Source organism: Homo sapiens, chromosome 11, assembly GCF_000001405.40.
Source record: "Homo sapiens chromosome 11, GRCh38.p14 Primary Assembly".
Lineage (NCBI taxonomy): Eukaryota > Metazoa > Chordata > Mammalia > Primates > Hominidae > Homo > Homo sapiens.
Window position 1 is genome coordinate 41,795,051 of NC_000011.10, and position 27,763 is coordinate 41,822,813.

General features: G+C 34.8%; 1 long non-coding RNA gene across 1 annotated transcript in view; it reads left to right on the forward strand.

The window, feature by feature from the left end:
- Positions 1-27,763, forward strand: part of LINC01499 (long intergenic non-protein coding RNA 1499) — a 121,875-nt gene that overhangs the window by 80,483 nt on the left and 13,629 nt on the right. The window contains exon 3 of the long non-coding RNA NR_120584.1: positions 26,243-26,343. This is a non-coding gene — a long non-coding RNA (long intergenic non-protein coding RNA 1499). The remainder of the gene's footprint in view (positions 1-26,242; positions 26,344-27,763) is intronic.

The window sequence follows — 27,763 nt, forward strand, 5'->3', positions numbered from 1 at the left end:
CAGCCTTCTCAGTATTTGGGTCTACACCACACCTGGCTATTTTATTTTATTTTTTTTGTAGAGATGGGGTTTTGCCACGTTACCCAGGTTGGTCTCAAACTACTGGGCTCAAGTAATCCTCCTGCCTTGGCCTCCCACATTGTTGAGGTTACCAGCATGAGTCACCACACCTAGTCTTTCATACTACCTTAATTAGGTCATCTGATTTTTGAGAAAACCAAAGTTACTCTCTATCAAAGAGTGAAGTTTTTAGTTTTGTCTGTTTTGCCTTTAAAAATCTTTTATCAATTTGGCTGAATGAATTACTATTATTTTATAGTGACCCTATTTTACTATCAAATTTAAAGTACTGATATTTGATAAACTTTCCCCAAATCAAATTTTTTTTTTTTTTCTGAGACAGGATCCTGTTCTTTCCCCCAGGCTAGAGTACAGTGGCACAACCTTAGCTCACTGCAGCCTTAAACTGCTGGGCTCAAGTGATCCTCCCACCTCAGCCTCCCAAGTAGCTGGGACTACAGGCACACACCACCATAACTGGCCAATTTTTTAAAAAAACAATTTTTTGTAGAGAGCAAGTCTTGGTTCTCACTTTGTGGCCCAGGCTGTTCTTGAATTCCTGGTTTCCAGTGATTCTCCTACCTCGGTATCCCAAAGTGCTGAGATTACATGTGTAAGCCACATCCAGCCTCAAATTTCAAATTCTAAATTAAGTCTTTCTGACCTCAAACTAATGTTGGACATTTCAAAAAGAGCCCATGGAACCCTAAGAGAAGCATATTAGGCTTACCTGAGATGTTAACATCATTCAAGAATCATTGTTAAATAAGAAATGGTTTAATGAAATCCTTCATCACTCAGCTATTAACTCCATTTTTCTCTCCACAGCCACCAACTCAGTCTTTAGTGTGTGAAATTTCTAGGGAAGTTTCAGATAGGGGAATGCTGGGGAATAGAAAATGATTCCCCAAAATATGGCTCTTGGGCATGCAAGTGCTTTTGAAAATTAAAAGGCCTCAGAAATAAGCCTCAGAATCAAGGTCTGTCTAACCTTGTTTTGTTCCTCCCTCTACATGGCAGGGAGAGACTCCCTTTGGAATTTCCTAATCTGACCAAGAAACCTTCTTACTAAAAGAAACACAATTGCCTTCTATCCCCTTCCAGAAATCTCATTATTTCAGAAAAGAAAAGAGTGGAACCATATCCAGGTGAAATTTTTAACAAGATAATATCTGCCTCTGGGGCTCATTAAAATTCCAAAGTAATTTATTTACAAGTTAATTTATGTCTCCCTGGTCCCTTCATTCTCCCTAATTGTCTATATGTCCCATCTCCTCTATCTCTTATAAAAAAAAAAAAACTTATATAAGCTTCTGTGCCCCATTAGGGGTTGGGAGTAATTACTCTATGTTCTGTCCCCATGCACATTAATAAAATTTGTAAGCCTTTTCTCTTATTAATTTGGCTTTTGGCAGTTGATTTTTAGCAACTCTTCAGACAGCAAAGGGAAGTTTTCCTTTTGCTCCTACAGTTTTGGTGCATCAGGATATCAAAGCTGACCTGCTTATCTGGAAGCTACAGTCAAGGGAATCCAGGATCTGACAAGCTGGCAGAGAAATTTTTATTATACCCTCTGAACTTACTGTTGCTGCTAGCCCATCCAGGATATTAAAATAATAATGTCACAATGTTTAGACATGGTTAATTAAATACATGCTTCTCCTGGTGTATAGTTTATCATCATAGAATACTACAGGCCTCCTACTTAGAGTGGCTCCCTTGTCATTCATGTTTGGCCAATCTCTGAAGTCTTGGAAGTACGTTAACTTCCAACAGTCTCTCTCATGGGGCACAACACTAGCATTTCAAAGGGCAATCAATTACAAATCTGTGCCAATCAAATGATAATTGATTAGTGATACTTCCTCATGTCAGACCTTGATCAAAAGGGAAATGTGGAATGTGATATACAACATGGTTTCACTCTGGTTCAGAGCTCTAAAGTGGAGTCAGGAAGCCATTCTAAGGAGGACTACCTGGCCATCCTGCAATAATGCAAAAACCCTATAGACTGTTTTAAACTTTTGAACTGGACCAAACTGCTCCAACCACAACATCCCAGGAAGCAGCTGAGCTTCACCAGCTCTGCAACTCTTGAACAGCAGCAACCAATGAACTATGGATTCGTGTACTAAGCCAGGCACCTAAAACAATGGTAATTCCTTCAAAATAACTTCTGTTATCACCCTCATCTTTTTAAAAAAACTGGCCAATTTTTTAAAAAACAATTTTTTTGTAGAGAGCAAGTCTTGGCTCTCACTTTGTGGCCCAGGCTGTTCTTGAATTCCTGGTTTCCAGTGATTCTCCTACCTCGGTATCCCAAAGTGCTGAGATTACATGTGTAAGCCACATCCAGCCTCAAATTTCAAATTCTAAATTAAGTCTTTCTGACCTCAAACTAATGTTGGACATTTCAAAAAGAGCCCATTGTCTCCAGGACAATGATAGACTTCCCAAAATAAGGAGCCAGTAATTTTTTTATATTACCAACACAATGCTAGTTTTAACTTTCTTCCAAATCTTATAGATTCCCCCTAAATTTCACCACTTCCTGACAGTGATGAATGGGGTGACAATCCTCATAAGAACATGGCCATCCTTGTCAGCTTGGACTTACACCTATAATGAGGGCATATGTTGTTGCACTATCCAAGGGCAAAAAGGCCTTATTGGAACACAATGTCTTCATTATAGAGGGAGCTCACAAAAGTGCCCATAAAATCTGCTTCAAGACCTTGTTAGCTTGCACGAAACACATATACTGCTCACACAGGTAAAAATCTCTTCACCTACTTAAGAAGTTGCAAGAAGTTTAAGCAGTCCAACAATTTATATAAATATTCAAAGACTATCTGCAGAGCAGCAATCTTCCTGACTCTTTGTTCTTAGTCTGCACTCTTGAGACAATGCTGATGCCAATTGTAGGATTGAAACATAACTTCTTTTTCTAGACAGTTAAGAGCATTGAGTTTGAAGCTTCTGGCTGCACAATAGCTTTTGCATTTTCAAAGAACAAATAAGTGGAGAACTATAGCCCTGTGCTGTTACATTTCTAAGCAGGTGTGTTGAGGTATAGGGTTAGAATCCTTGAAACAAAGTTTTGTTAGATTTGGGTGATGCAATTAGAAACTAGTCTGTAATTGATTTGTCCAAAGTAGCATGTGAAAATTTTTTTTTAAAGTACAAAAAATGCCTTTAAAAGTTTTATACAATTCTGTAAATGTTTAAATAACATTTTGATGTCTTCTAAGGGGAATATCATATATATTTTGTGTAAACAGCAGTAACTATGTGCCTATCTAAAAGAAAGATTTTTGAGGATGAAATATTTGTCTGCCAAAACATATGAAAGCATGTAATGAAGATAGTCCTAAGTATTAGAAAATATTATATTTTTATTTTGCATGATTTGTAGCACCTACACTGTGCTTTGGTGGTGCTGAAACTGCATCCAGAGTGAGCATTCTCTTGGATTGCTAGGCAGATGTATTTTTAAAAATAATATTCCTGAATAAAAAATGAGCTCTACTGGGCCAGGCCTGGTGGCTCATGCCTGTAATCCCAGCACTTTGGGAGGCCAAGGCAGGCAGATCACGTGAGGTCAGGAGTTCAAGACTAGCCTGGTCAATATGGTAAAACCCTGTCTGTACTAAAAATACAAAAATTAGCCGGGCGTGGTGGCAGGTGCCTTTAGTCCCAACTACTCAGGAGGCTGGGGCAAGAGAATTGCTTGAACCCAGGAAGCAGAGGTTGCAGTGAGCCGAGATTGCACCACTGCACTCCAGCCTCGGCGACAGAGTGAGACTCTGTCTCAAAAAAACAAGCAAACAGACAAAAAAAAGCTCTACTGGGTTATTATAAAGCTATTTGTTATAAAACTTTGTCTAAAGGTAGAGTAATTAAGATAATGTGATATTGGGCAAATAAAAGATAAGTAGGCCAACCGAATAGAAGAGAGAAACCAGAAACAATAAGCACATGTGGATATTTAAATTTTGACAAAAAGGGGACTGTAGAACCATGGAGGAGATGAATGTCTCATCTCAATAAGTGGTGCATTGACCTTTAGATATCTACATGGAAAAGAAAGAATGAAACTTGATTCCCCCACCTCCCAACAATACCTCAAAATATAAGTTAGTTGGATTGTAGATATATATGTACACATCACCTCTGTCATCTAAGCAAAATGACCAGTTATCCAAATAGGCAGAAAAGTTTGATCTGTAATCATAAAAAAAATTAATAGAAACAGACCTAGATGCAATAAAGATGATGAACTTTCCAGAAAAGTATGTTAAGCTGGCTATTAAAATGTGCTGTATATGTTAAGGAAGAAAGATTACATCATGAAATTGATTTGGAAAGAAATAGAAGGTGTAAGACAGGAGTCACATGAAATTGAAAAATAAATACATAAAATGAAAAAATATATTGATTGAGATTAATGGCCAATTGGACACTGCAGAATTAAAAAATGAATGAATTTGAAGACACAGCAATAGAAACTATTCAAAATGAAGTACAGACAAAAATAAAAGACTAAAAACATTTTTACTAAAATGTAATGCTATAAACTTTTAGAAAATAATACAGACCATATGGTTTGAGAGTAGGAAAAGAGGTCTTGCTGACATCAAAGAATTGTTTGAGTTGAAGTAACAGAAACTAAGTATCAGTGGAAAGAGGGGAGGTGTAGTCAGAGAATGGGATGCATACAATTGAGGTTATGAAGGGGCTACATAATGACAAGCTCTAGTTTATGACCACAGAAGGAAATGGTTGAGATAGGATAGGGGATTAATGGAGAAGTATGAAAGGACATGAGAGGTGCAGAGTTATATGGCTTCCTTATGGTTTCATAGTGAATTAATAATTGACAGAACTAGACTTCAAACCCAATTTTTGCTTACTTTGAAGTCATGCTACTTTCAAAGGAAAAATTCTTACTTCTTATGAAAGTGTAAATATGGCACAATAATTAAACCTGATAATTTCATGGACCCAAAGTAGAAGTTTTAAATCTGGATTAAAGGAATATGTTAGAATCAAAACTTTCAGTGTTATTTTTCTCCAGAGAACTCAGCTAACAAACTGATGTTCTGTGCTCAGGTGTGAGCAGCCACTATGCATGCACCTTGTCACCTATGACTGCCACAGTATCACTTAGCAAATTGTGGATTTATTTAGCTAATAAGAATTGCATTGCATATTCACTACATGTTCTTACGGTGCACTTTTGGAAATTTGCATTTACCTCTCAGGTTGACCATACAAGTAGCCTTTCTAAGGGCCTCTGCAAAAAAAAATGTACATTCCAAGTGGATAAAAATCTGACTCTGGATTTGAAAGGAAAGAGGAGGAATACAAAATGAGGATATTCTAGAAAGAAAGATACATAAGCATTTTTCTTTCAATAGGGTCATAAATCACAATTTAAGTATAAAATTAGATTGTTTAACACAACTCTCAATATTGTTTGTGGACAGCAGTTTATTCATTTTTCAAACAGTTAATGTTGTTTAAAAGTTATTATATTTCACAGATATATTGTTTTTTAACATTAAACTTTGCATGTTGAGGTAATTGTAGATTTATATACCGTTTTAAAATAGAATATAAAAAAGACCCTGTGGGCCGGGCGCGGTGGCTCACGCCTGTAATCCCAGCACTTTGGGAGGCCGAGGCGGGTGGATCATGAGGTCAGGAGATCGAGACCATCCTGGCTAACAAGGTGAAACCCCGTCTCTACTAAAAATACAAAAAATTAGCCGGGCGCGGTGGCGGGCGCCTGTAGTCCCAGCTACTCGGGAGGCTGAGGCAGGGAGAATGGTGTGAACCCGGGAAGCGGAGCTTGCAGTGAGCCGAGATTGCGCCACTGCAGTCCGCAGTCCGGCCTGGGCGACAGAGCGAGACTCCGTCTCAAAAAAAAAAAAAAAAAAAAAAAAAAAAAGATCCTGTGAACACTTTTTCCAATTTCTTCTAAAAGTAACTTCTTGCAAAATTGTATCAAAATATAACAACCAGGATATTGACACTGATAAAACTCACCCATCTTAATCAGAATTCTCCAATTTTACTTACACTAATTTGTGTGTAATGTGTGTACATTTAATTCTGTGCAAGTTTATCACCTGACAGTTTCTTCTATCCACCACCACAGTCAAGATACAGAACAGTCCCATCACTACAAAGATCCCTCATCTTGCCCTTTTATAAACCCACCCACATTTGTTTTCTCCTTCCCTGTCCTTAACCCTGATAGCCACGAATCTGATCTCAATCTCTGTAATTTCGTCTTTTCAAGAATGTTATCAAATGGAGTTTTTTTAGCATGTAAACCGTGTGATTGGCTTTTTTCACTCAGACTAACTTTCTAGAGATTCTTTCAAGTGGATGAGTGTAGTCAATAGTTTATTTTTATTATTGAGTAGTGTTTCATGGTATAGATATACTAGTTTGTTTAACTGTTTAACCCAACTGAAGGGCACCTGGCTTGTTTCCAGTTTGTAGCTGTGATAAATAAAGCTGTTACCAACATTTGTGTACAGGTGTTTGTGTGAACATAAATTCTAATTTCTCTAAGACAAATGTCCAAATGTGCAAATGCCATGTCAGATGGTAATTACATGTTGAGTTTTATAAGAGATTAACAAACTGCTTTCTAGAGAGGTATATTGCTTTTATTTGATCACTTACTAAGAGTCAGATGCATAATTTATTAATTCATGTATACATTCCTTCCACAAATATTTACTGATTGCTTACTATAGTCACACATCACTGTTCAAGAACTGCCGATAGAGTAATGAACAAGACATCTTCCGTAATTTGTTCTAGTGTAGGAAGAAAAAAACAAAACATGTAATGTTAGATGATTAAGAACCTGACAGAATTAAGGTCATTTTAGCTAAGGCAGTCAGGGAAGGCTTCTCAGAGGTGGTGATATATAAGCTGACATATGCCTAATGAGATGAAAGAAACCCTGCACATATCTGGGAATAGATGGTTCCGAGAGGAAGGGTTGGCAAGTGTCAAGGCTCTGGGCCATAAATGAGATTGGCAAGTTTGTGGAAGAGAAAGGAAAGAAGTGTGGCCAGAGACCTCCTACTGAAAGAGAGGGAGGAATAGGGAAAAAGATGGGAGAGGCAGACATGTCTCTCATTATACAGTCTTTGCCGGTCTAAAGAAGATGTTGAGATGTTAATCAGTTTGTCAGTTGAAATGGTTAGGTGCTTTTCCATCAAGGAGGGATAGGATTTAATTGATAAATGTTTATTTCATGACTTGTGGAAAATAGACAATGTGGAGTGTACAATGAGGGTTCAGCAGGAAAATATAAGCCACTTTATGTCACATGAGTCCACTGAGGTGGGGCCCAAACCCACCAGTGAGTCTAGTCACATTTAGCGAGAGGGAGACTACTGAAAGTCAGGATCCAAATCCCAGCCAATGCCTCCATTTTTTGATAGAAGTTTGGAAAGGCAGCATTCCTAGATCTAATTTGGCTTAATGAGACAATTATGGTCTTTAAAGTTAAACATAATTAGTTTAAATCTTGACTTCCATTCACTAGTAGCCTCAGTTAACTTATTTAATCTTTCTGAATTCTGATTTCCTCATTTATAAATAAAAGAATAAGCCTCATGAAATTGTGTACAGTTAGATAAAACAATGGAATAACTATTTGCCACCAGAGTCTTGGCTTATGGCTCACATTTACCACAACAAAAATACACTAGAGGCTCAGAAAGCTTTTCCTGGCATTTCTTAGCAGCAGATCTCCTCCCCAAATAACTAAGATTTTGTATTAGCTACAGATTTAAAAAGTGACAACTAACAAACCAAAACGTTCACATTTATGTAGAGGCCAGCATTTGACCTCAAATTTATATCAACAAACTACTCCACCAAACGAATGAACATTCAAAAAAGTGTGAATATCTTTGTGATTTAAAATGTTTTGTGGTTTCCAGCAAAGGTAGAAACCACTGCTAATTGCACAATGCAATTACTATGATCAATGATAATTCACTATAAATTAAGTTTGATTATTGTTGTTTATCTATAAACAACGTATGCAAAGGGGCTTACTATTTGAAAACATCTCTATGGTCTTGGCAGAATAGGAATTAGGAACAGGTTTCAAGATGAATAGAAACACTCTGCTGTGCTGATTCACATAAGAATAATAGAAAACCTATAGAAAGAAAAACTGCTCCAGCACTTAGGTTGAAGAGACATGATTTAAAGTGTTTTTACTTCCTTAATACACTTTGTATATTTCCATGAACAAAGAAATGCATTAAAATTGGAGACGTTCTTTTTTTTATTTTTATTTTTTTTTAGACAGTCTCACTCTGTCACCCAGGCTGGAGTGCAGCAGCTCTGTTACCAGCTCACTGTAAACCTCCGTGGAGATGTTCTTTTAAGGAAGTCAGAAAAGTTTTGAGTTGTTTCTGTAGTTTTCTCATATTTTTCTCAAGCATCCTTGCCTGCCTAGAATGCCAAAACAAATGGTCACCTCTTTAAACAAGCAAACAATTTTGATTCCCTGATAGAATTAATGTTATATTGGGGTAACCTCTCTGCTTAATTCAAGTTAGCAATGTGACTAAAACTGTGTGATACTACACAAACATGAATTGAGGTAATTATCTATAAAAGCATTCAGAAAGCCAAGTGGTCCCTTTGTACCTTTTGGGAGGATTGAGGATCTCCCAAGACAACTAATGTATTCAGGGAGTAGCTGAAGCTTATGATTTTTAATTCCAGTTTTTTCTAATCAGATTGTTTTTCCCAGTTCATACCTTATCCTTGGTGTCAAATCTCAAAAATTAGAGAAAAGGGAACGAGCAATCATCATCTCTCCAATACTTTGTACCATCAGGAAGCCAACAAATATGGAATTATGACTAAAGTTTTTCTAAAACCACAGAAGCCATTAATATGTATACACGTCATCAGGTTAAAAATCTAGATTGTCAGAATTCCAGGACTTAAAGAGTCCATTAGGAAAAAGGAACTCGGGACTCACTGAAGACTATTCAACTGCCACTGTAAAAATGACTAGTTTGGCTCACACCTATAATCTCAGCACTTTGAGAGACTGGAGCCTGGTGGATCACTTGAACTCAGGAGTTCAAGACCAGCCTGGCAACATAATGAGACCCGTTTCTACTAAAAACACAAAAAAATAGCCTGGCATGGTGGTGCGCACCTGTGGTTCCAGCGACTTAGGAGGCTGAGGTGGGAGAATCACTTGAGCCCAAGCGGTGAAGGTTGGAGTGAGCTGAGATTGCACCGCTGACCTCCGGCATCGGTGACAGAGCAAGACCTTATCTCAAAAAACAAACAAACAAGCAAACAGCAACAACAACAAAAAAAACAAAAACAAAGTGACTATTCCATTTAGGATCTTTTCCAGTCTTCATTTTTTTACATTTTGCATAGAAAGGTTCTGTCGGCTGGGCGCAGCAGCTCAGGTCTGTAATCTCAGCACTTTGAGAGGCCGAGGCGGGTGGATCACGAGGTCAGGAGTTCAAGACCAGCCTGACCAAGATGGAGACACAAATTAGCTGGGCTCTGTGGCGGCCGCCTGTAATCCCAGCTACTCAGGAGGCTGAGGAAGGAGAATTGCTTGAACCACGCAGGAGACGGAGGTTTTAGTGAGCCAAGATGGTGCCACTGCACTCCAGCCTGGGCGACAGAGTGAGATTTCATCTCAAAAATAAAAACAAAACAAAAATAAAAAAAGATTCTGTCAAAATTATAGCCTAAATTTCATCACTTGCTTAACTGGTTCATGGTTCTTTTTAGTTTTTCTTCTAAAATTCTTCTCCTAAAAAATCAATGAATGTTTTTGTGGTAATGACTTTAAGTCAGGTTGCATACAAAGTCATTATTTTCAGCATTTGTCTCCATAAGTTAGAAAAGACCCATTTGAAAATCGCTTGTACTTCTAGTTAGGAAGTGCTAACTACAACCAAATTGCTTAACCAGAAAAAAATCAGTAAATTATTTGTGAAGCTTTTAATATAAATAATATAAATAATATTTCATATAATATAAATAATTATATAATATAACATAAATAATATTTTGTTTATTAACGTTTGCTGCCAAAAGTGTCATCTAGAAAGGGTCATCTATAACCTCTTTTTTACTTTCCTTTTTTTTTTTTTTTTTTTGAGACAGAGTCTTGCTGTGTTGCCCAGGCTGGAGTGTAGTGGCGCAATCTGGGCTCATTGCAACCTCTGCCTCCTGGGTTCAAGTGATTCTCCTGTCTCAGCCTCCCCAGTAGCTGGGATTACAGGTGCACACCACCATGCCTGGCTAATTTTTTTGTATTTTTAGTAGAGATGGGGTTTCATCATGTTAGCCAGGCTGGTCTCGAACTCCTGACCTCAGGTAATCCACCTGCCTTGGCCTCCCAAAGTGCTGGGATTACAGGTGTTAGCCACCACTCCTGGTCTTTCTTTTTTTAGTTAAAAATTTGACAGCCTTTAGAAATATGAAGACATGTCAAAATTAATTTTAGTAACTCATAGAGCTGTAAAAGAGTAGTGATAAGGGAAAATTTTAATACATATCATATCCAGATAAAATTAGGATGGATAAAACAGTAACTAAATTGATTAAATCATAGTAAAGCTTAATAAAATAGAAGAATATTTTTTATATATCGAAAGAATAATTTAAAAAAAAACAAAATAAATTACACAAAAAGATGGGTATATTTCATTAAAATATATACACACAATTAAAATTTAACTATAAAAAGTGATATAAAAGAATTCATATAAGTTCAAGCAGTTCAAGATGTTTACAAATATACTTTTAGGCCAGGTGCAGTGGCTCATGCCTGTAATCCCAGCACGTTAGGAGGCTGAGGTGGGTGCATAACCTGAGGACAGCAGTTCCAGACCAGCCTGGCCAAAATGGTGAAACCCCGTCTCTACTAAAAATACAAAAAAATTAGCCAGGCATGGTGGTTGGTGCCTGTAATCCCAGCTACTCGGGAGGCTGAGGCAGGAGAATCGCTTGAACCTGGGGTCGGAGGTTGCAGTGAGCTGAGATTGCGCCACTGCACACTCCAGCCTGGGTGACAACAGAGAAACTCTGTCTCAAAAAAAAAAAAAAAAAAGAAAGAAAGAAAGAAAGAAAGCAAAAAGAAATATACTTTTAACAATTAACAATGTCTGTGGAAGTAAAACCATATTGCCCCTTTACTTTTTAAACCATATATTTGTATATTTTACTTTTTTATAATATGTCATTTTATCATTATAAAACAAAAGATAATACACAAAATGTAATTTGATATCTAAAAAAGGAAGAATATTTTAAATAGGCCCACATCTTAAAGTTGTGATTATCTTTCTTTAGTGAAATAATATTGCTGCTGAACATTTCTCGATCTCTTAAAAGCCCCAGGTTTGCTTTGGGGTTTGAGTGATGACTAGAAAAGACTCATGTTTTATCTGCCATTTCCTCTTCTTTAATGGCAGTAGAAGATGGCTTAGACGCTTTGGAGAGAATTGTTATATAAATGGTGATTATTTGAAGACAAGCAAAATTCGACATCAACTGTAAAATTATACACTCTTAAAAGCATTAAACTCATGCTTTTATACCAAGTTTACTGAAAACATTTATATGAAATGTTAAAAACTAACACTTTAAAACCAGGGAATTTACTTTTAATCCCCTCTCTGGAGTAGTCTTCATACTTGATATCTTAAGGAGTCTATGAAAAGTACTTTTTATCCGCATTTGAATATTAATGAAGGCAAATGGCATTTTGGAAAAGAAAAAAATATTTCTTATACTAACTATCTCTACCCTAGTATCACTTTTCTCTACAAGTGTGAGTTTATAAGTGTTTTAATTAAGACCATATGCTTTTACAGTTTGTGGTTGTAATTTTAATTAAAAATACATACGTTTAAGACTTCTGTAAAACAATCAGCCATTTATTTGCAAGTAAACCACTGAGTTTAATACAATTTAAGTAACTCTTTAAAGAAGCATCTACTATAAAATGGAATCTCTAGGAGATCCTATGGAATAGAGGTAGTTAAGGTAGAGTCTCTGATTTCATGGATTTAATAACCATCTAGGTATCCAGGCAACTGCTACAGAGATTTCTTCAATTCCATCTTTTGTGATCTAATCTACCATATTGTTAGAAGTACATTCTCCTGTGTCACTTTGGAAGCTTCAGTTTTATCTACGCATCATAGATTTGAGGAACTGAATGGACACTTATTACCATTAATAGCAACAAAATGACAATACTTACAGGAACAGAAACTGCTGAAGAATTTAAGATGTATAAATTATCTCATCCTAGGAATAACATGTCAAAGGTATGGCACATGTCTCCATTTTAGTGAAGAGACAACTAAGGTATAGATACTTTAAGGAAGAAATAGTGGAGCAAGGACTTGAGCCGAGGTCTGATTCCAAAGATCTAATATAGCACCTCATTGAATTTCTTGGCAAGACTGATTATACTACATGGTTGAAAAGGCCAATTTTTTATTTAATCATAATTTGTTCAAATCCCAAAGTGTCCTTTAATATCTGTATGACTGTGAACAAATCATTTGATCTTTCTGAGCCATGTTTCTTCCTCTATAAAAAAAAGCATAATAATATCTAGTTAAAGGAGGCTGTGAGAATTAGAAAATATATGTAAAATGTTTAGCACAGTGCCTAGACAAATTTAAACACTAAATACATGGAAGTAGTAATTATTTTAAAAATAACCTTATCTAAATTAAGTTACAGAAGAGGCAATATAGTTGCCCAAGTTTGAGTAGTGTCAGAACTGGAACTTGAGTGTCTTGAATATCAGAAGCAGCACATCTCTCAAGGAAATTATAATTTTATGAATGGATTGTTCTATTTAAGGTGACTGCCACTCGCATTGGTAAGAGTGATGTTATTTACTTAGTTTATTGTTGCAAATGCTAATCTCTTCCAAAAACACTCTCACAGACATACCAGAAATATTGTTTTACCAGCTATCTGGGCATCCCTTAGCCCTGTCAAACTGACATATACCATTAACCATCATAATATCCAACATATGTGTTTGAATGTTTAACTACTTATTTGCTCTCTTCAAGCTCATATATTAAAATCCTGACCCCGAGTACTTCAGAATGTGACTGAATATGGAGACAGGGCTTTTAAAGAGGCAATTAAGGTAAAATGAGATAATACGGCAGACCCCACTCAATATGATTGATACTTATAAGAAGAAAGATTATGACACACACAGAGATTGAGAGGGGACACTGTGAAGATACAGGGAGATGGCAGCTGTCTGCAGGCCCAGGAGAAAGGCCTCAGAAGAAACCAAACCTGCTGACACCTTGATTTTGAACTCTAGTCTCCAGAACTGTAAAAAAATAAATTTCTGTCATCTAACCCACCCAGGCTGTGGTATTTTGTTGTGGCAACCTTAGCAAACTAATACAGGAGCTACTGTGTATTACTTTACTATATCTTCAGATAGTTCCAGAGAACCCAGAAAACTGGATTTTTAGGTAAAAACTTCTGATTTTTAAATCTCAGAAGCTAAATCAAATTTATTTAAAACAATTGCAAGATAAAACTCTCTATGTAAAATAGAACAGGGTTAATTTATGTTGTGCATATGGGGGTCCTAGCACATAATGATTATTTAACAAATGTTAGTATGTCTTGGCTTCTCAGGCAATAGTAAAATTTTGTAGCAGTTTTGAAAATACAGTCACTTATCTTGGAAAACTTCTCTGGAGTCTTAGGAATATAAACCATTTAGACTGACTTTGCTATCTTCCATTTCTGTCCTTTCAATTTAGAGCTGACATAAAAAACACTCAAGAGAACTGAGTCTGGAAAATGTGAGAAGAAAGTTAATTTTGGCAAATTTCTGAGAAATGAAAAGACGTATCAACAAGAAATTTCATTTCTAAGAGGTACAGCAATCTTGTTTCCTATTGATGAGCACTATCATGGAGACCATGGCAAGACTGGGTTGTTGTGTCTTTTATTGGAGATCTCAGTGAACATGTCAGAAAGACAGAAAGTTACAAAGGCAGACTCCCAGTTGTCAGTTTGCCAAAACTCAGACAAACTACGAGAAGAGTCACTGAGAGATTCTCATTTTCTTCTAAAAGTAAAGTATGGATTTAGAAGGTGATGTAGGAAAAGCACAAAAGACGACACAGGAATCTCAGGACAAGCTTAGTCGAAGGTCTTTTTGCCTTTGGAAAAAAACAAAATGAAACAAAAGAGGGTAGCAACTAAAAGAGTAATTCAACATCAGAATCTCTCTTTATTACCACCATGCTGTATTCATTAAGGCTGAGTTTCCCTCCTGGCTTGGGTTCACCATTGCCATGGACAAGGGAAAAAGTTATATTTCCTGTTGCAGTGGAATATTTTTATAGTGTGACCCTAAAAGTTTTTAACTGCAATTCCAAATTAAAAAATATATATTTATTTTTACTTTACTATTCAACACACACATATACATTGTCAATCAAAATAACAGACAAAGAGAGGCTGTCTAAAAATAAGATGCCTATTTGGGAATAGAGCACTGCAAAAGAAATATACATGCTGTAGTAAACTACATGCATATTCAGGGAAGTAAAGAAAGACAAAAGGTTTTACAGAAAAAAATGAGAAAAATTACCTAATCATTTTGAAAAACTTCTCCACTGCTCCAAAGATTAAAACAAAGGTGACACCAGTCCAAGTTTGGCCATGCAGCTGCTGAGTGGATGTCCTTGCAGAAATATTTTTTGTATAAGGTTGTGACAGACTTTGTGCAAGGTTGTGGTTTCATTATAAAGTACACAAGCATGAGAACCTTCTCTTTATAGCCTTCCCCAGCTCTATGTGTCAGACTTTTCTTAAAATTAGTGGCTCCATTTGGATTCTGATGACTTTCACATTTCCCCCTTTTGATCAAGATCTTTCTCTGAAAGTATCACTGATAAATTACACTATAGTTAAGACTTGTTGTCCCTTGACACCAGAATGTACCTGTCCCAGTTGCTGGTCTCATTCTACATTGGGGAGAATGATGAGCAAGTAGCAGTCAGTGTCAACATTCTTTTAGCCATATTTGAGCAACAACAGAGGTTTAAAAGGAGGGGCTCTCATGCTAAGTCCACTCAGAGTTCATTAGAAAGTTCAATTTTGTCTGTTCCATGGTCTTTTGGTACCAGCTTAAAGTGTAGGGTCAATATTATCTTGTTAGAAGTTGCACTTCTGCAAAAATTTAATTAGTAACAGATATAAAGTTTAAACAAGGAAAATACAAAGTAATATTAATAGTAATGTGACAATTCCAGTTTAGGTAATGGTTTTGAGCCATAAACCTTGACTTAAAGATCACCAATTGCATGAATCAAATAAGCATAGGGAATTAGATGAAGGATTTTGTAAGCATGTAGCTTGTTTGCTTATTTTGTATATATGAGGGTCAACTTTTCCCAGAGAAATTTATCTAGATGGGCATGTAGTACTAGCAATAGCACATATATATTTTTTTAATTCAACCAATGGGTACTGAAGGATTTATTAGGCTACCTTCTGTTAAGTTACCAGCAGAAGCTATTGATTATGAAATTTCAATTAATCATTATCTTGTCAAGTACAAAAGGTAGCAAGTGGGGTAAGATTCTTACTATGATCAGGAGTCCTGTTTCTGTGTCTTGAGAAAAGCTTTTTACACTATGAAAACATTAACTTCTCCTAGTTTGTAGTTTGAGTGTTTCTGGTCATGACCAGGCAGCTTAGTGAACATTTTATGTGGTCCATACATCAGATACAGGGTTTGTCTCTTGAAATTCATCTAGTTTCAACTTCTATATTGCTTTTTATAGGAACAGAGTAGCTTTTTTTTTGTTTGAGTTACAGAGTTGTAGCCAAATATTGGAGAAAATTAGGAAAATTCAGAAACTGATTCAGTCAGAGAGAATAAGAACATAAAAACAATACACAGGTGTATTGCAGTTTTTCTTTGGAAATATAACTTTTTCTTTCCACATTGATCTTATAGGAATCTCAGATTTAAAACTTCTTGAAGCCCGGCAAGGTGGCTTACGCCTGTAACCCCAGCACTTTGGGCGGCCAAGGTGGGCGGATCACGAGGTCAAGAGATTGAGGCCATCCTGGCCAACATGGTGCAAATCTGTCTCTACTAAAAATACAAAAATTAGCTGAGTGTGGTTGCATGCCTATAGTCCCAGCTACTCCGGAGGCTGAGGCAGGAGAATCCATTGAACCCAGGAGGCGGAGGTCACAGTAAGCTGAGATCGCGCCACTGAAATCCAGCCTGGTGAGAGAGCAAGACTCTGTCTCAAAATAAATAAATAAATAAATAAATAAATAAATAAATAAATAAACAAAAAAAAAAAACCTTTTAAGGCTAGGAACCCAAGAACCCAAACTAAGGCATACCTTAGATTTTTCTTAGCATCTAAAGGTTCTTGAGGCTGCCAGGAAGTGACACTTTTTACTTACTGTAAGGCTGCAAACTCCTAAAGCTGGACATTCTATGCACATTTTAAATGATGGCATTTTAGTCAAAGCCTTGGTAATATTTAATATAATCAATGTTTCTACTTGTATTCTGCATACAAAGACAGAGTAGATTTTTATTAAACTTATGTAAATAAAAAATAAGAATATGCACAAACAGCTTCCAAATTTTGGATAAATCAAGTAGGGAGGAAAAGCAAATTTCTCCACTATTGTTCACAAAAGTATACTTTACCAGATTGTTTAAAACTATAGATAGCTTATAAAGCAAAATTTTCTTCAATCGTGAAAAGGAAACATTTAAGTAAATAACTAGCAATGTTTTAATTAAAAGTCATAAGACATTATCTTTGTCAACTACTTCATTTCATGTAATTAATTCATTTTTGCTTTAACTTGGTTAGCAGTTATATGAATGTATCCGTTTTTTACAATGAGAGTTCTGAAAATTTTTATTTTGTCCATTTATTTTAAAGTTATCAGAAATCTGTGTTTAAGAGTACTAGTTAGAAAAAAGCAATTTTGGAATAGAGCTGATTGGAAATGCTTTTAGAGAACTCAAGACAATAACTGTGCATGGTGAAAGCTTGAAATAGCTTATGGTTAAAATCGGATGAAAGTTTTCAATTGACAAAGAAATTTACTAAATTTACTACATGTAGTATTTTAAGGTAACCAGATTCATGACTGACAGTGTCACATCAGGACCATCAGATTTAATAAATTCTATATAATCTTTAGAACATTAACATTAATGACTTACCCATACAAACAGAACTGTAGAAAAGATTTAGCATAATTAAAATTATGATTGATAATATAGTAGACTTATGAATTTGTATAATTTTTAAAACATATTTAACAGCTATATACCCATAAATGTAACTGAAAGAGTTTATAGTATCACTTGTCATTTGACAATATCTCCCGCATAATTTAGCAAATAAGTCGAATCATTTAGCATTACCACAAGAGAAGAGATACACTCTTTGACACATTAGAGGCACTTAACCAGAAAATTCCAAAGTTAATTTTAGCCCCAAAAGATTTAATTTAGGATTTTGATTCTAGAGAAACCTGCCAAAGATTTCAAAAGATTCAAAACACTTGATCAAAACAAAATCACCTTTTGATAGAGCTGGAGGTCATTATTCTAAGTGAAGTAACACTAGAGTGGAAAACCAAACATTGTGTGTTCACACTTATATGTAGGGGCTAAGCTATGAGTACGCAAAGGCATACAGAGTGATATAATGGACATCAGCCGCTCAGAAGAGGAAGGGCAGGAGGGTGGCTAGATATAGAAAACAAACCATTAAGTGCAATGTACACTAGTTTGGTGATGGGTACACTAGAATCTCAGAACTCACCACTATATTATTCATCCATGTAACAAAATACTACTCATACCCCCAAACTATTAAAACAAAATTAAAACAACAACAAAAAGGAAAAAAAAATGTAAAGAAACCCCAAAATTATAGGTTGTGTAAAATAATATTTATTTACCAGAGTTATAGTCAAAATACTTCAAAAAGCAAAACAAAAAGTTATATGGATATAAAAACATTAAACCTTTAAAAGCTCAGTTTTCCTAACTAATAAAAAACCTAATGAAGACAATATAGAAAATTATCTTGATAAAACACTAAATTTTTTTTTTAGGTCAGTTACCAAAAAGATAAAGAGGTGAAGAAAAACCTTCTGCAGCATGATTTCTTATTCTTATGAGATGCCTTCTTAAATTTCCTGGAAGTCAAACCTAATGAAAATGGTACTTGAATTTAATCAGATACAAGAAAAATGTGTACAGAATTGTGACTGTACACCATGTTATAGAGAAATACAGACAAGGAAAATATTACATTGAGCATGGAGTACATGACCTTTAGTAACAGCATGGGAAATTTCCTGGTTACATGAAACTATTCAGACATATCAAGAAAAGCCACGAATATAGAATCAAGTTATACTGGAGAAAAGCATTCCATTTCTAGGCCTTTAAGATAAACATTTCATTATCTGACCACAACAAAAGTTGGCACCAGAGAAAAATAGTTACAGGAGCTGATGAAAAGGTTGAAGAAGAGAGTTAGCACCCCAACCAAGCAAAAAGATACATGATTTCAAGAGAAGAAAAAGAAGACAATAATGTATAATTTGCAAATTACATGCAGTAAAGTAGAACAAAAGTTGAATTTCTGAGATACATGTGAGAAATTTCAAAAAGAAACATTTCCAAATTAAAAATTAATACCTCGTGCAATATAACTAAAAGTAAATCAATGCTTTAAGGAAACCTTGTTCTAACATTAGGTACCCATTTTTTTTTAGTTTGGTATGAATGTGTTTTTAATATAAAAAATCTATCATTAGAAAGACTACTATAAATAATCACCTTTTAATTCTAGCCAACTTGATCACACACATAACTCCTTTCATAAGTTTCTTTTTCATGAATCTTATTATGACTTACACAGACCATATATGGCATGCTTGGATTTCTCTTTTGTCCTATAGTTTCTCTTTCTTAAATAATCTGTTATTTTACTTTAGGAGAAACAGTTACCATACAGGATTCTTTTTTATACAAAATTTTTCTCTTCATTTTAGCCTTTCTTATCAAAAATACATTTTCATATCTGTAACTTTCCCCACATCTCTCTCTCCTACGTTTGGTTTCTTTCTCTGTTGCTTCTATTTCCTTCCTAAATTTATATTTTAAAGCAACCTTCAAATAACTTCTGAATAAGAACAAATTATACTTTTTTCAATAAATATCACATTTTTATACCTTAGTCATAATTTTTAAAAATTAAAAACATATCTTATCTTTTGGCACACTTTATACAATTATATATTTATATATAGTTATATAAAAATTATATATATAAATTAGAATTTTTAACTCTTATTAAGTTTAAAATTTAGTGAAGACCTAGGAGGCAAGAAATATTGAATTGTCTGTAACATGTCAATATTTTATAGACAAGAAGCATTTTATAATTTTAGAAACATACTTCCCTGTAACATAATTTGTTTTAATCTTATTTGGAAATAATCCAGCATTTAATGAATATCTATTATTTAATGTAACTTTAAGATTTCAAATTACATGAAACATTTATTTATAAATGTTTATCTCATTTACATTTACCTAACTTATTTACTTTTAACAGTATTAGACAAAGATGTTAATCATTTTACTTTCCTGGTTAACTATTTTTATAGCCTGTGAATATTAGCTGTTCACCTAAGTAAAAATTTTTACTTGATAACCCAGAAGATACAGCTATTTTCACTAAACTAATAATGTTAAATAGGTCTTACTTATCAAAAAATTACACAAAGATCATTCTATTTTAGGCTAGATGTATAGTTTTATAATCTTTGTCTCAAACCCTGACACCTTAAATATATAGCAGAGACACATATAAAGCTGTCTGAACAGTAAATCCAGGTAAAAATACATGCTGAGAATTCTGAAGACCTTTTTTAAAATTTTACCAATAATTTTAAAACCAGCTTATTTATTAACAATTTACTGGAGTCATGCAAACTAAAGGCATTTAGGTTAATTACTATATATTTTATCTTGTATATGAACATTCTTTTATCCTTACAATATTTTTGAACAACTATACCAGCTTTGACCATGTGGACATACCATATAACATAATACATGAACATATACATATGTAAACCCATCTAAACATACATACACACACAAATAAAGACCTTATAGCTTTCACTTTTGAATTTTAGTCATAAGACAGTAAAACAAAACAAAACAAACAAAAACTCACTAGTTTATAACAGACACTTAGATCCAAATTATATTTCTGACAAAATTGAGACCTGTTTACATAGCTAAACTTTATTTGTCTTTACAGGTAATCTAATAAAGCCTGTAGATTAAAATTTTGGGTAAAGGTATTTCCATGGTAGTTTCATTTATTTAAGTAAAAAAAAAATTCTTTTACCCTTTTTTGTAAATCAATTTAAAATAAGTTTAGGGTTAAATTTTTAAAATTTATGTTTAGCTAGGACTGGCTGAATTGTATAAGAAAAACAAAACCTCTAAGAAGACTTACATTTATAACAAATCTGTCTTTTGTTGGCTGGTCTAGTTTGCTTGATTACCAAATGCACCTAGGTGAGAATTTTAGCAGTTTTTTTTTTTTTTTCGCCTTTTCCTTTTAGCTTTTTATGGCAGAAAAAGTTAAAGTTTTTTGCTAGACAGAGATGTATTATTGTGCTAAGCTCAAGATTTTGACCAGAGAGCCTAACATTTATAAACAATTATCTAGTATTTTTTAGATTATTAATTTTTAAATTAAGCATTCCATCATTGTATACAATTGTTAGACAAATATGAATTTATATTTCTAAAAGGTGTCTAGGCTGTTGGTTACCACAGAGAGGTTGTGATTTCTAAGGCCATTAATTTGAAGGACTTTTAAGATTTTTTTCCTTTTTAATCTTGGCTGGAATTCCATAAACAGTGAGTTTTTTTCTCAACACTAGTAGAAAAGTCAGCAGATTCAAAGTAGACAGAAAAAGAGAGAGAGAGACAGAGAGAGAGAAACAGAAAAATTAGAAGACACCATATGTTTCCCCTACAGCTGCAGGTTTTTTAAATAATGACCATCTCCGAATGGTCATTGATAATATGAACAGTTCTGAATTATCCTTGATGTAGTTTGTCTATCAGTTTAAAAATACGCACAAGTATAGGCCATAATATGTAGCTGACTGGAGTTCAAGAAAATTTGGCATGCCTTAAGTTTAAGAATTTCATTTCATTTCTTATTAATCCCTTGGGAACAAAGAAAATCCTATAAATCCTGTCAGAAAATGTCAGAATTTAAGACCAGTGTTTTAGATGATAGCAACTACCCTAGTGGCTTTTATTTCAGCCATTCTGAATTCCCTTCCAGAATGTTTATTTTTGCTCTTAAAATATTTGTAGATAAAAGCAAGGGAATGCAGTCAACCCAAATAAAAATAAACTAAGATGAATGTGTTCAAAACAGTTTAACCCAGGCATGCAAATGAAACAAAATATTGAACTAGGCATGCAAAGCAGAGAAGACATATCTCACAGATAGAATGTAAATTCTGTATTAAAAAAGAATATTTAATCTAGAAAGACACTTCTTATCTTTATACTAAAAAGGACTTACTACCAGAAAAGATGAAAAGACTTTTATCATCCCAGGAGGTATATATAGTCCTTTATTAAGATGGCCTTTTCCAAACCAGAAACCAAGTAAAGTCAAAAAATCTCTACCAATAGGAGGGAGAATTGATCTGAGTTAAGACTCACCAGGGCAAAAAAAAGCACGCTGTGAAAGTGGAGGGCTCAAGTGTGTACTACACACCAGTTCTGAGAATTGCTAATTCCTTCAGATAGTGAACTGAAGATCCTATTTCTGACATCATATATATCAACCTGAATAACAAACAGAAACACTCTCTAATAGAAAACAATGTCTATTTGGAAATACGGCATTGCAAAGGGACTACACATGCCATGGTAAACTATGTATATTCGGGGAGGCAGAAAAGGCAAAGGTTTTTAAAGGAAAAACATAAGGAGAATAATGTAGTTGTTTTAAAATAATTATTCTTGGCTACAGGGATAATTAATAACAAGGATGGTGCTAGTCTGAAATTGGACAGGCCATTTCTAGGCAGATGTTCTTATAGAAGTATTTTTGTGTAAGGTTGTGATGGCCTTTATGAAAGGTTATGGTCTTTGTAGTGTTTTTTGTTATCAGACATTCAAGGATGTAAACTCTCTCCTCATGGCCTTTCCTGATTCTAGTTTTTAGGACTTTGTTAAGATTAGTGACTCTTTTTGACTCTGATCATTTTTCACAACTTGTATACTACTAAAACCAATGTTTTATGAAACATTTCATGAAACGTTACAATATATGTAATATCCCATAGTATTTTCTATTCTTTTTCATTTTTCAAAAATACTGGTCATAGTCACCAAATTGATTTTAGGGCACTTTGAATGGGTTGTAACCCACAATTTAAAAATGTAAGACATTGAAAAACTGCTTTTAAAATTTTGGGTATTGAAAGGACCTAAGAACAGTAAATAGTCTGATAATTCAGTTTCAGACTGAGTTAGTTGGAATTTTTATCGTACATTTTGATGTTTGAAATGAAGATTTTAAAGGTGGAACAGCTTTGGATCATAAGGCCTAGTGTACATTTATTGAAATAGTAGCTAAACAGTCTGATAACTCAGTTTACTCTGTGCATACCCATAGAAGATACTCTCATATCAGTATAATAGATGAACTAAATGTTAAGATTCATTGATTAATTATATGTTGAACTAATGTTAATAGTTAATAGTTAACGTAATAGATGAACTAAATGTTAAGATTCATTGATTAATTTATTCAATGAACATTTGTTGAGAGCATACCACATTCCTGACACTGTTCTAGATTGTTGTTCATTATGTATGTAGAAGTCATGTACAAAGATGTAATGTACATTATGTACATTAATGTACAACAGCCTAGAACAGTGTCAGAAATGCACATTAAATTACATATGAATAAATCTTTATGTTATGGAACTTATTTGTTGTAAAGAAATGAATAATAATAAATAAGCCTATAATATAATGAAAAGTCATGTAAGTAATATGAATAAAAATCCAGCCACATGAGACAATGGAAAATGACTGATATGGTTTGTCTGTGTCCCCAACCAAATCTCATCTTGAATTGTAGCTCCCATAATTCCCATGTGTCATGTGAGGGACTCAGTGGGAGGTAATTGAATCATGGAGGTGGGTCTTTCCTATGCTGTTCTTGTGATCGTGAATAAGTCTCATGAGATCTGATGGTTTCATAAAGGGGAGCTCCCCTGGACATACCCTCTTGCCTGCCATCATGTAAGACATGACTTTGCTTCTCATTCGCTTTCCACCATGATTGTGAGGCCTCCCCAGCCATGTGGAACTGTGAGTCAATTAAACCCCTTTCCTTTATAAATTACCCAGTCTCAGCTATGTCTTTATTAGCAGTGTGAGAACAGGCTAATACGATGACTAATAGAGACATTTGATTTTAGATAGGGTTGTCACAGAAGAGTCAGGGATAAGGAAAAGGGATATATGAAGATCAGTCTAGTAAAGAATGTTGAGGCAAGAGGAACAACAATGAAAAACTTTGATGCAATAATAAGTGTGGTGTATTTTAATACCAAGAAGAAGGCCAAATGTCTAAATGGGTAAGAGAAGATATTGGAGACATACATAGGAGCCAGACGATATAGCACCTTTTAAACAGTATGAATGGTTATTGCAGGATTTTGAGGAGAAGTGTGGCATAAACTATTATAAATTTTACAAAATTCATGCTGGCTGCTTTGAGGATGATTGAGTGAAGTGGGCAAACATGAAGGCCAGTGAGGCCACTTCAGAAGACTTCACACGGGTATTAGTGATAGATACAAGTGGCTTTTATTATGGTGGAAAATGCTTCAGGATATATTTTGAAGATAAATCTGGCAGGTGTTTCAGATTGTCTGGAATAGGGGTATAATAAGAAAATGAGAAAAGTTAAAAATGGCAGTAAGTTTCTTGGGTCAAGTAGTTGAGTACACAGTGATGCCTATCACTAAAATAAGGAAGACAGGGAGTGAGAAAAAGTTGTAGTGAACAATGAAGAGCTCTGCCTTGGAAATGATATAGTTGAGAGGCAGATTACAATTGCAAGGGGCTGGTGAGTGGGAAGGCGTATATATAAGCTTGAAACATGGGAGATGTATACAGCTAGAACTATATGTTCAGCAGGTAGATGATATTTAAAAGCATACAATTAGATAAGTTCATCTCAGGGACTAGTGAAGATAAAGGAGAGATGAGTTCCAAGACTGGATCCTGGAACTGCTCCAGCATTTATTAATAAGGAAAATGAAGTGAGGCTAGCTAAAAATACTGAGAAGGAGGTGTGCATGATGCAGAAAAAAAGCCAGAATTCTGCGTTCCAGAAGTCAAGTGAAGGAAATGTTTCAAGAAGGACATTTATTTTGTAAAATGCTGTTGAGAAGTCAACAAGGACTAAGATTTGGCATTTGAGTTTGGCAAGATGGTGGTCGCTTGTAACAAGGGTAATTTCAGTGAAGTTGTGTGGAGTAAAGCCTGAAGAGAGTGGATTCAAGAGAAAAGGTGAGATGAAAAGAAGAAAATCAGTGCAGTCTATACTTTTGAGAAGTTTTGCTATAACATGGAGCAGAGAAATCATCAGATATTTGCGATGCTTCATGAAACAATGGGTGTAGGCATTTTGTTTTGTTTTATTTTTTGATGGAACATATTACAGTAGATTTTCATTCTGATGGACATAATTCAGTAGAATAAGATAAACTGATGACAAACAAAGATATTAAATTTCAGAACCATGTTGTTACATTGATGACAATGTAAGAATCAGTGTGCAAATGTAAGACTTATTCTTAGGAATGTAGGGTTCATTGATTGTAACAGGAAGGAAGATAAATGCTTTGGTACAGATGAAGGATTATTGATAGATTTGGTGGTGGGCAAATTAGATAAGTTCACTTATAATTGCTTCTATTTTCTCAGCAAAATAAGACATAAGACTATCAGTCAACAGTCAGTAGAAAGTGAGAGGGTGAATTGGCTAGTAGATGAGTTCTCATCTGTAGCTTGTGGTAAAAAATTCAAAAACTAAAGAGCATGGCTATCAGTTTCCTCCAATTATGTTTAGTAATAGGAAAAGCATAGGTGAAGAGTTAGATTTTGACAGAGAAATACAATCAAAGTGGGGAAGGAGAAGGCAGATGAAAGAGGTAAAGTATGGGAGTTAAAACTGTGCATAAGGGAGTGGTTTTCATTATTAAGGTAAACTGGGGAATGAGAGAGTGGAAGACCTGATGGAGTTTATGGCAAATAAAATAAATAGTAAGATCAATTAATTGGACTAAAGATGAGAGTGATTAATTGCCAGAGTGTGGGGGGCATAATAAATTAGTTGGAATCTTTATCATACATTTTGATATTTAAAACTAAGATTTTAAAGGTGGTACAGCTACAGATCATAATAAAGTCTAGTGTACATTTATTGAAACAATAGCTAAAGAAGTGTAAGGAAAAATAGAGTTTGAGTTGAGACAATCAAGAACTGAGATACTAAACTGCTGAGTAAATCATATCTGTAAATGTTCAAATCATCAAGGACACAGTGACTCAGTACTAAAACCTCGAATAGTTAAAGAACATTTGAGAGGTCTGTATGTGACTCCATATAAAAGGATGGCTAGATGGTATAATCTGAGGGAATGTACTTCAGAAGAGCTGTATTTCTCTCTAGAAGGAGAAGGAGAAGCTTTCTCAATATAGAAATATGATTTAAGGATACCTACCCCAAACCTAGGCCCCATGGTAAATAGGGTTTGGTAACATTATCTTCATCATCCTCATCATCCTCCTTATCATCATCATTATCATAATCATCTTCAATACTATTACCATTAGTGTTAGTAGTAGTATTGGTACTGGTGATAATACACACACACATACACATCTCAGATTTATCATATGTTGAATAAGGGTCTTCAAAATCTCTTTTAGGACAAAATATGCTATGTTTTCGTGAATCCATGATTCGACCTGAAGAAGAAGGAAAGAACTGGACATCCAGATGAGTACATTGATATCGAAGAAAAAAAGAGGTCCTTTCTTTATTCCATTCCCCTTCATGTCTCTACCTAGGACAGTATCTGAAAGTAGTAGACAATCAGTAGTACTTTTGGAAGAAAGGACAAAATACAGAAAGTCAGGACCGAAAGAGGAAAGGTTGCAGGTTAGGGGCTCAAGCCTGCTGTCATGTTTTTTTGCCACAGCTCTAGTACACATATCCTGATTACACTGAAGAAGGATTAGGCTCAGATCAGAGTGGGACACTTCCATATCAGGCAGTCTTCATATAGAGAAGGAAATTAAATTCTCTTGTCCTTAGAAAGCCCAAAGTTCCATAGCAGCTGTGTTTATATTTTTCTAGTTCCCTAAGGAAGCAGGCAGTAGAAGGGAAATGTGCTTCTGACTTAGAGTGGTATGCAACTTTTTAATTTAGCCAGCACCACTCTCAAAGTTTCACCTGCTTCTGAGAAAGTTATCTCAGGCATATATTTTCAGAAAGCTTTTTCTTTTTGGTGCAAGCTTTTGCATTCTAGGGGGAACTGCTACTCCATTCCACTCAGCTTTGCACTGCAACACATTCTCAAGCAGTTTCTGTCTCAGAGTATCCCACAGGCACAGCTTCATCATAATGGCACTTAGCATCTCCATAGTACTTATTATCTTGGAGGCACTCTACAAACATTAGCTAATTAGTCCTTGTGGAAAAAAAGGTCTTGTGGAAAAAAACATGCCTATTCATATTCTAGGAGTGGCCAACTGAAATGAAGAGGTAATATCAATAGATCTGTTTACAAGGCCACAGAGAGAAAAGAGTGGCATTTAGGACTTGTCAAAATATGGTCCCCAAGGTAATGCTAAATATAACTACAAATCTTGTCACCATTTGAAGATTATTACTAATCTTATTCCTTTAATTTTTTGGTGAAAATGATTGCATTTAAAGAAACAGCATATGAGTTAATATTAATAAGGAAAAATAACTGATTTGATAGCAATAGGTGAATAACTCTACAGGCATAGATATTTAGGGGTGAGACTTATTAATCTGTGCTAATAATTTGTCAAATTTAAATTATCTCTTTCACTGAACACCAAAAATAAAATAACTCCTGGCCGTGCCATTTTATGATATTCTATTTAGACAACATCTTTTATAGACTTATGTTTTCCATTGTTCTCACCATGCCTACATCTAAAACTGTCTATTGAGTACTCAATATATACTAGGTGTTCTGTAAGACACTGATTGTAGAGTGGTTTGTAAGATAAGAAAGGTCCTTGTATTTAATATGTTTTCTGTCTAATGAAGAAGACAGGGAGCTAAATGCACAATTACCATGAGACTTATGATTCTCTCAGAATAGTAGGACACCATGGACATGATTAAGGGTGGGTCAAAGGCAAGGAAAAAATCCTAGATGAAGGAATATTTAAGGGCGATCTAATGTATGC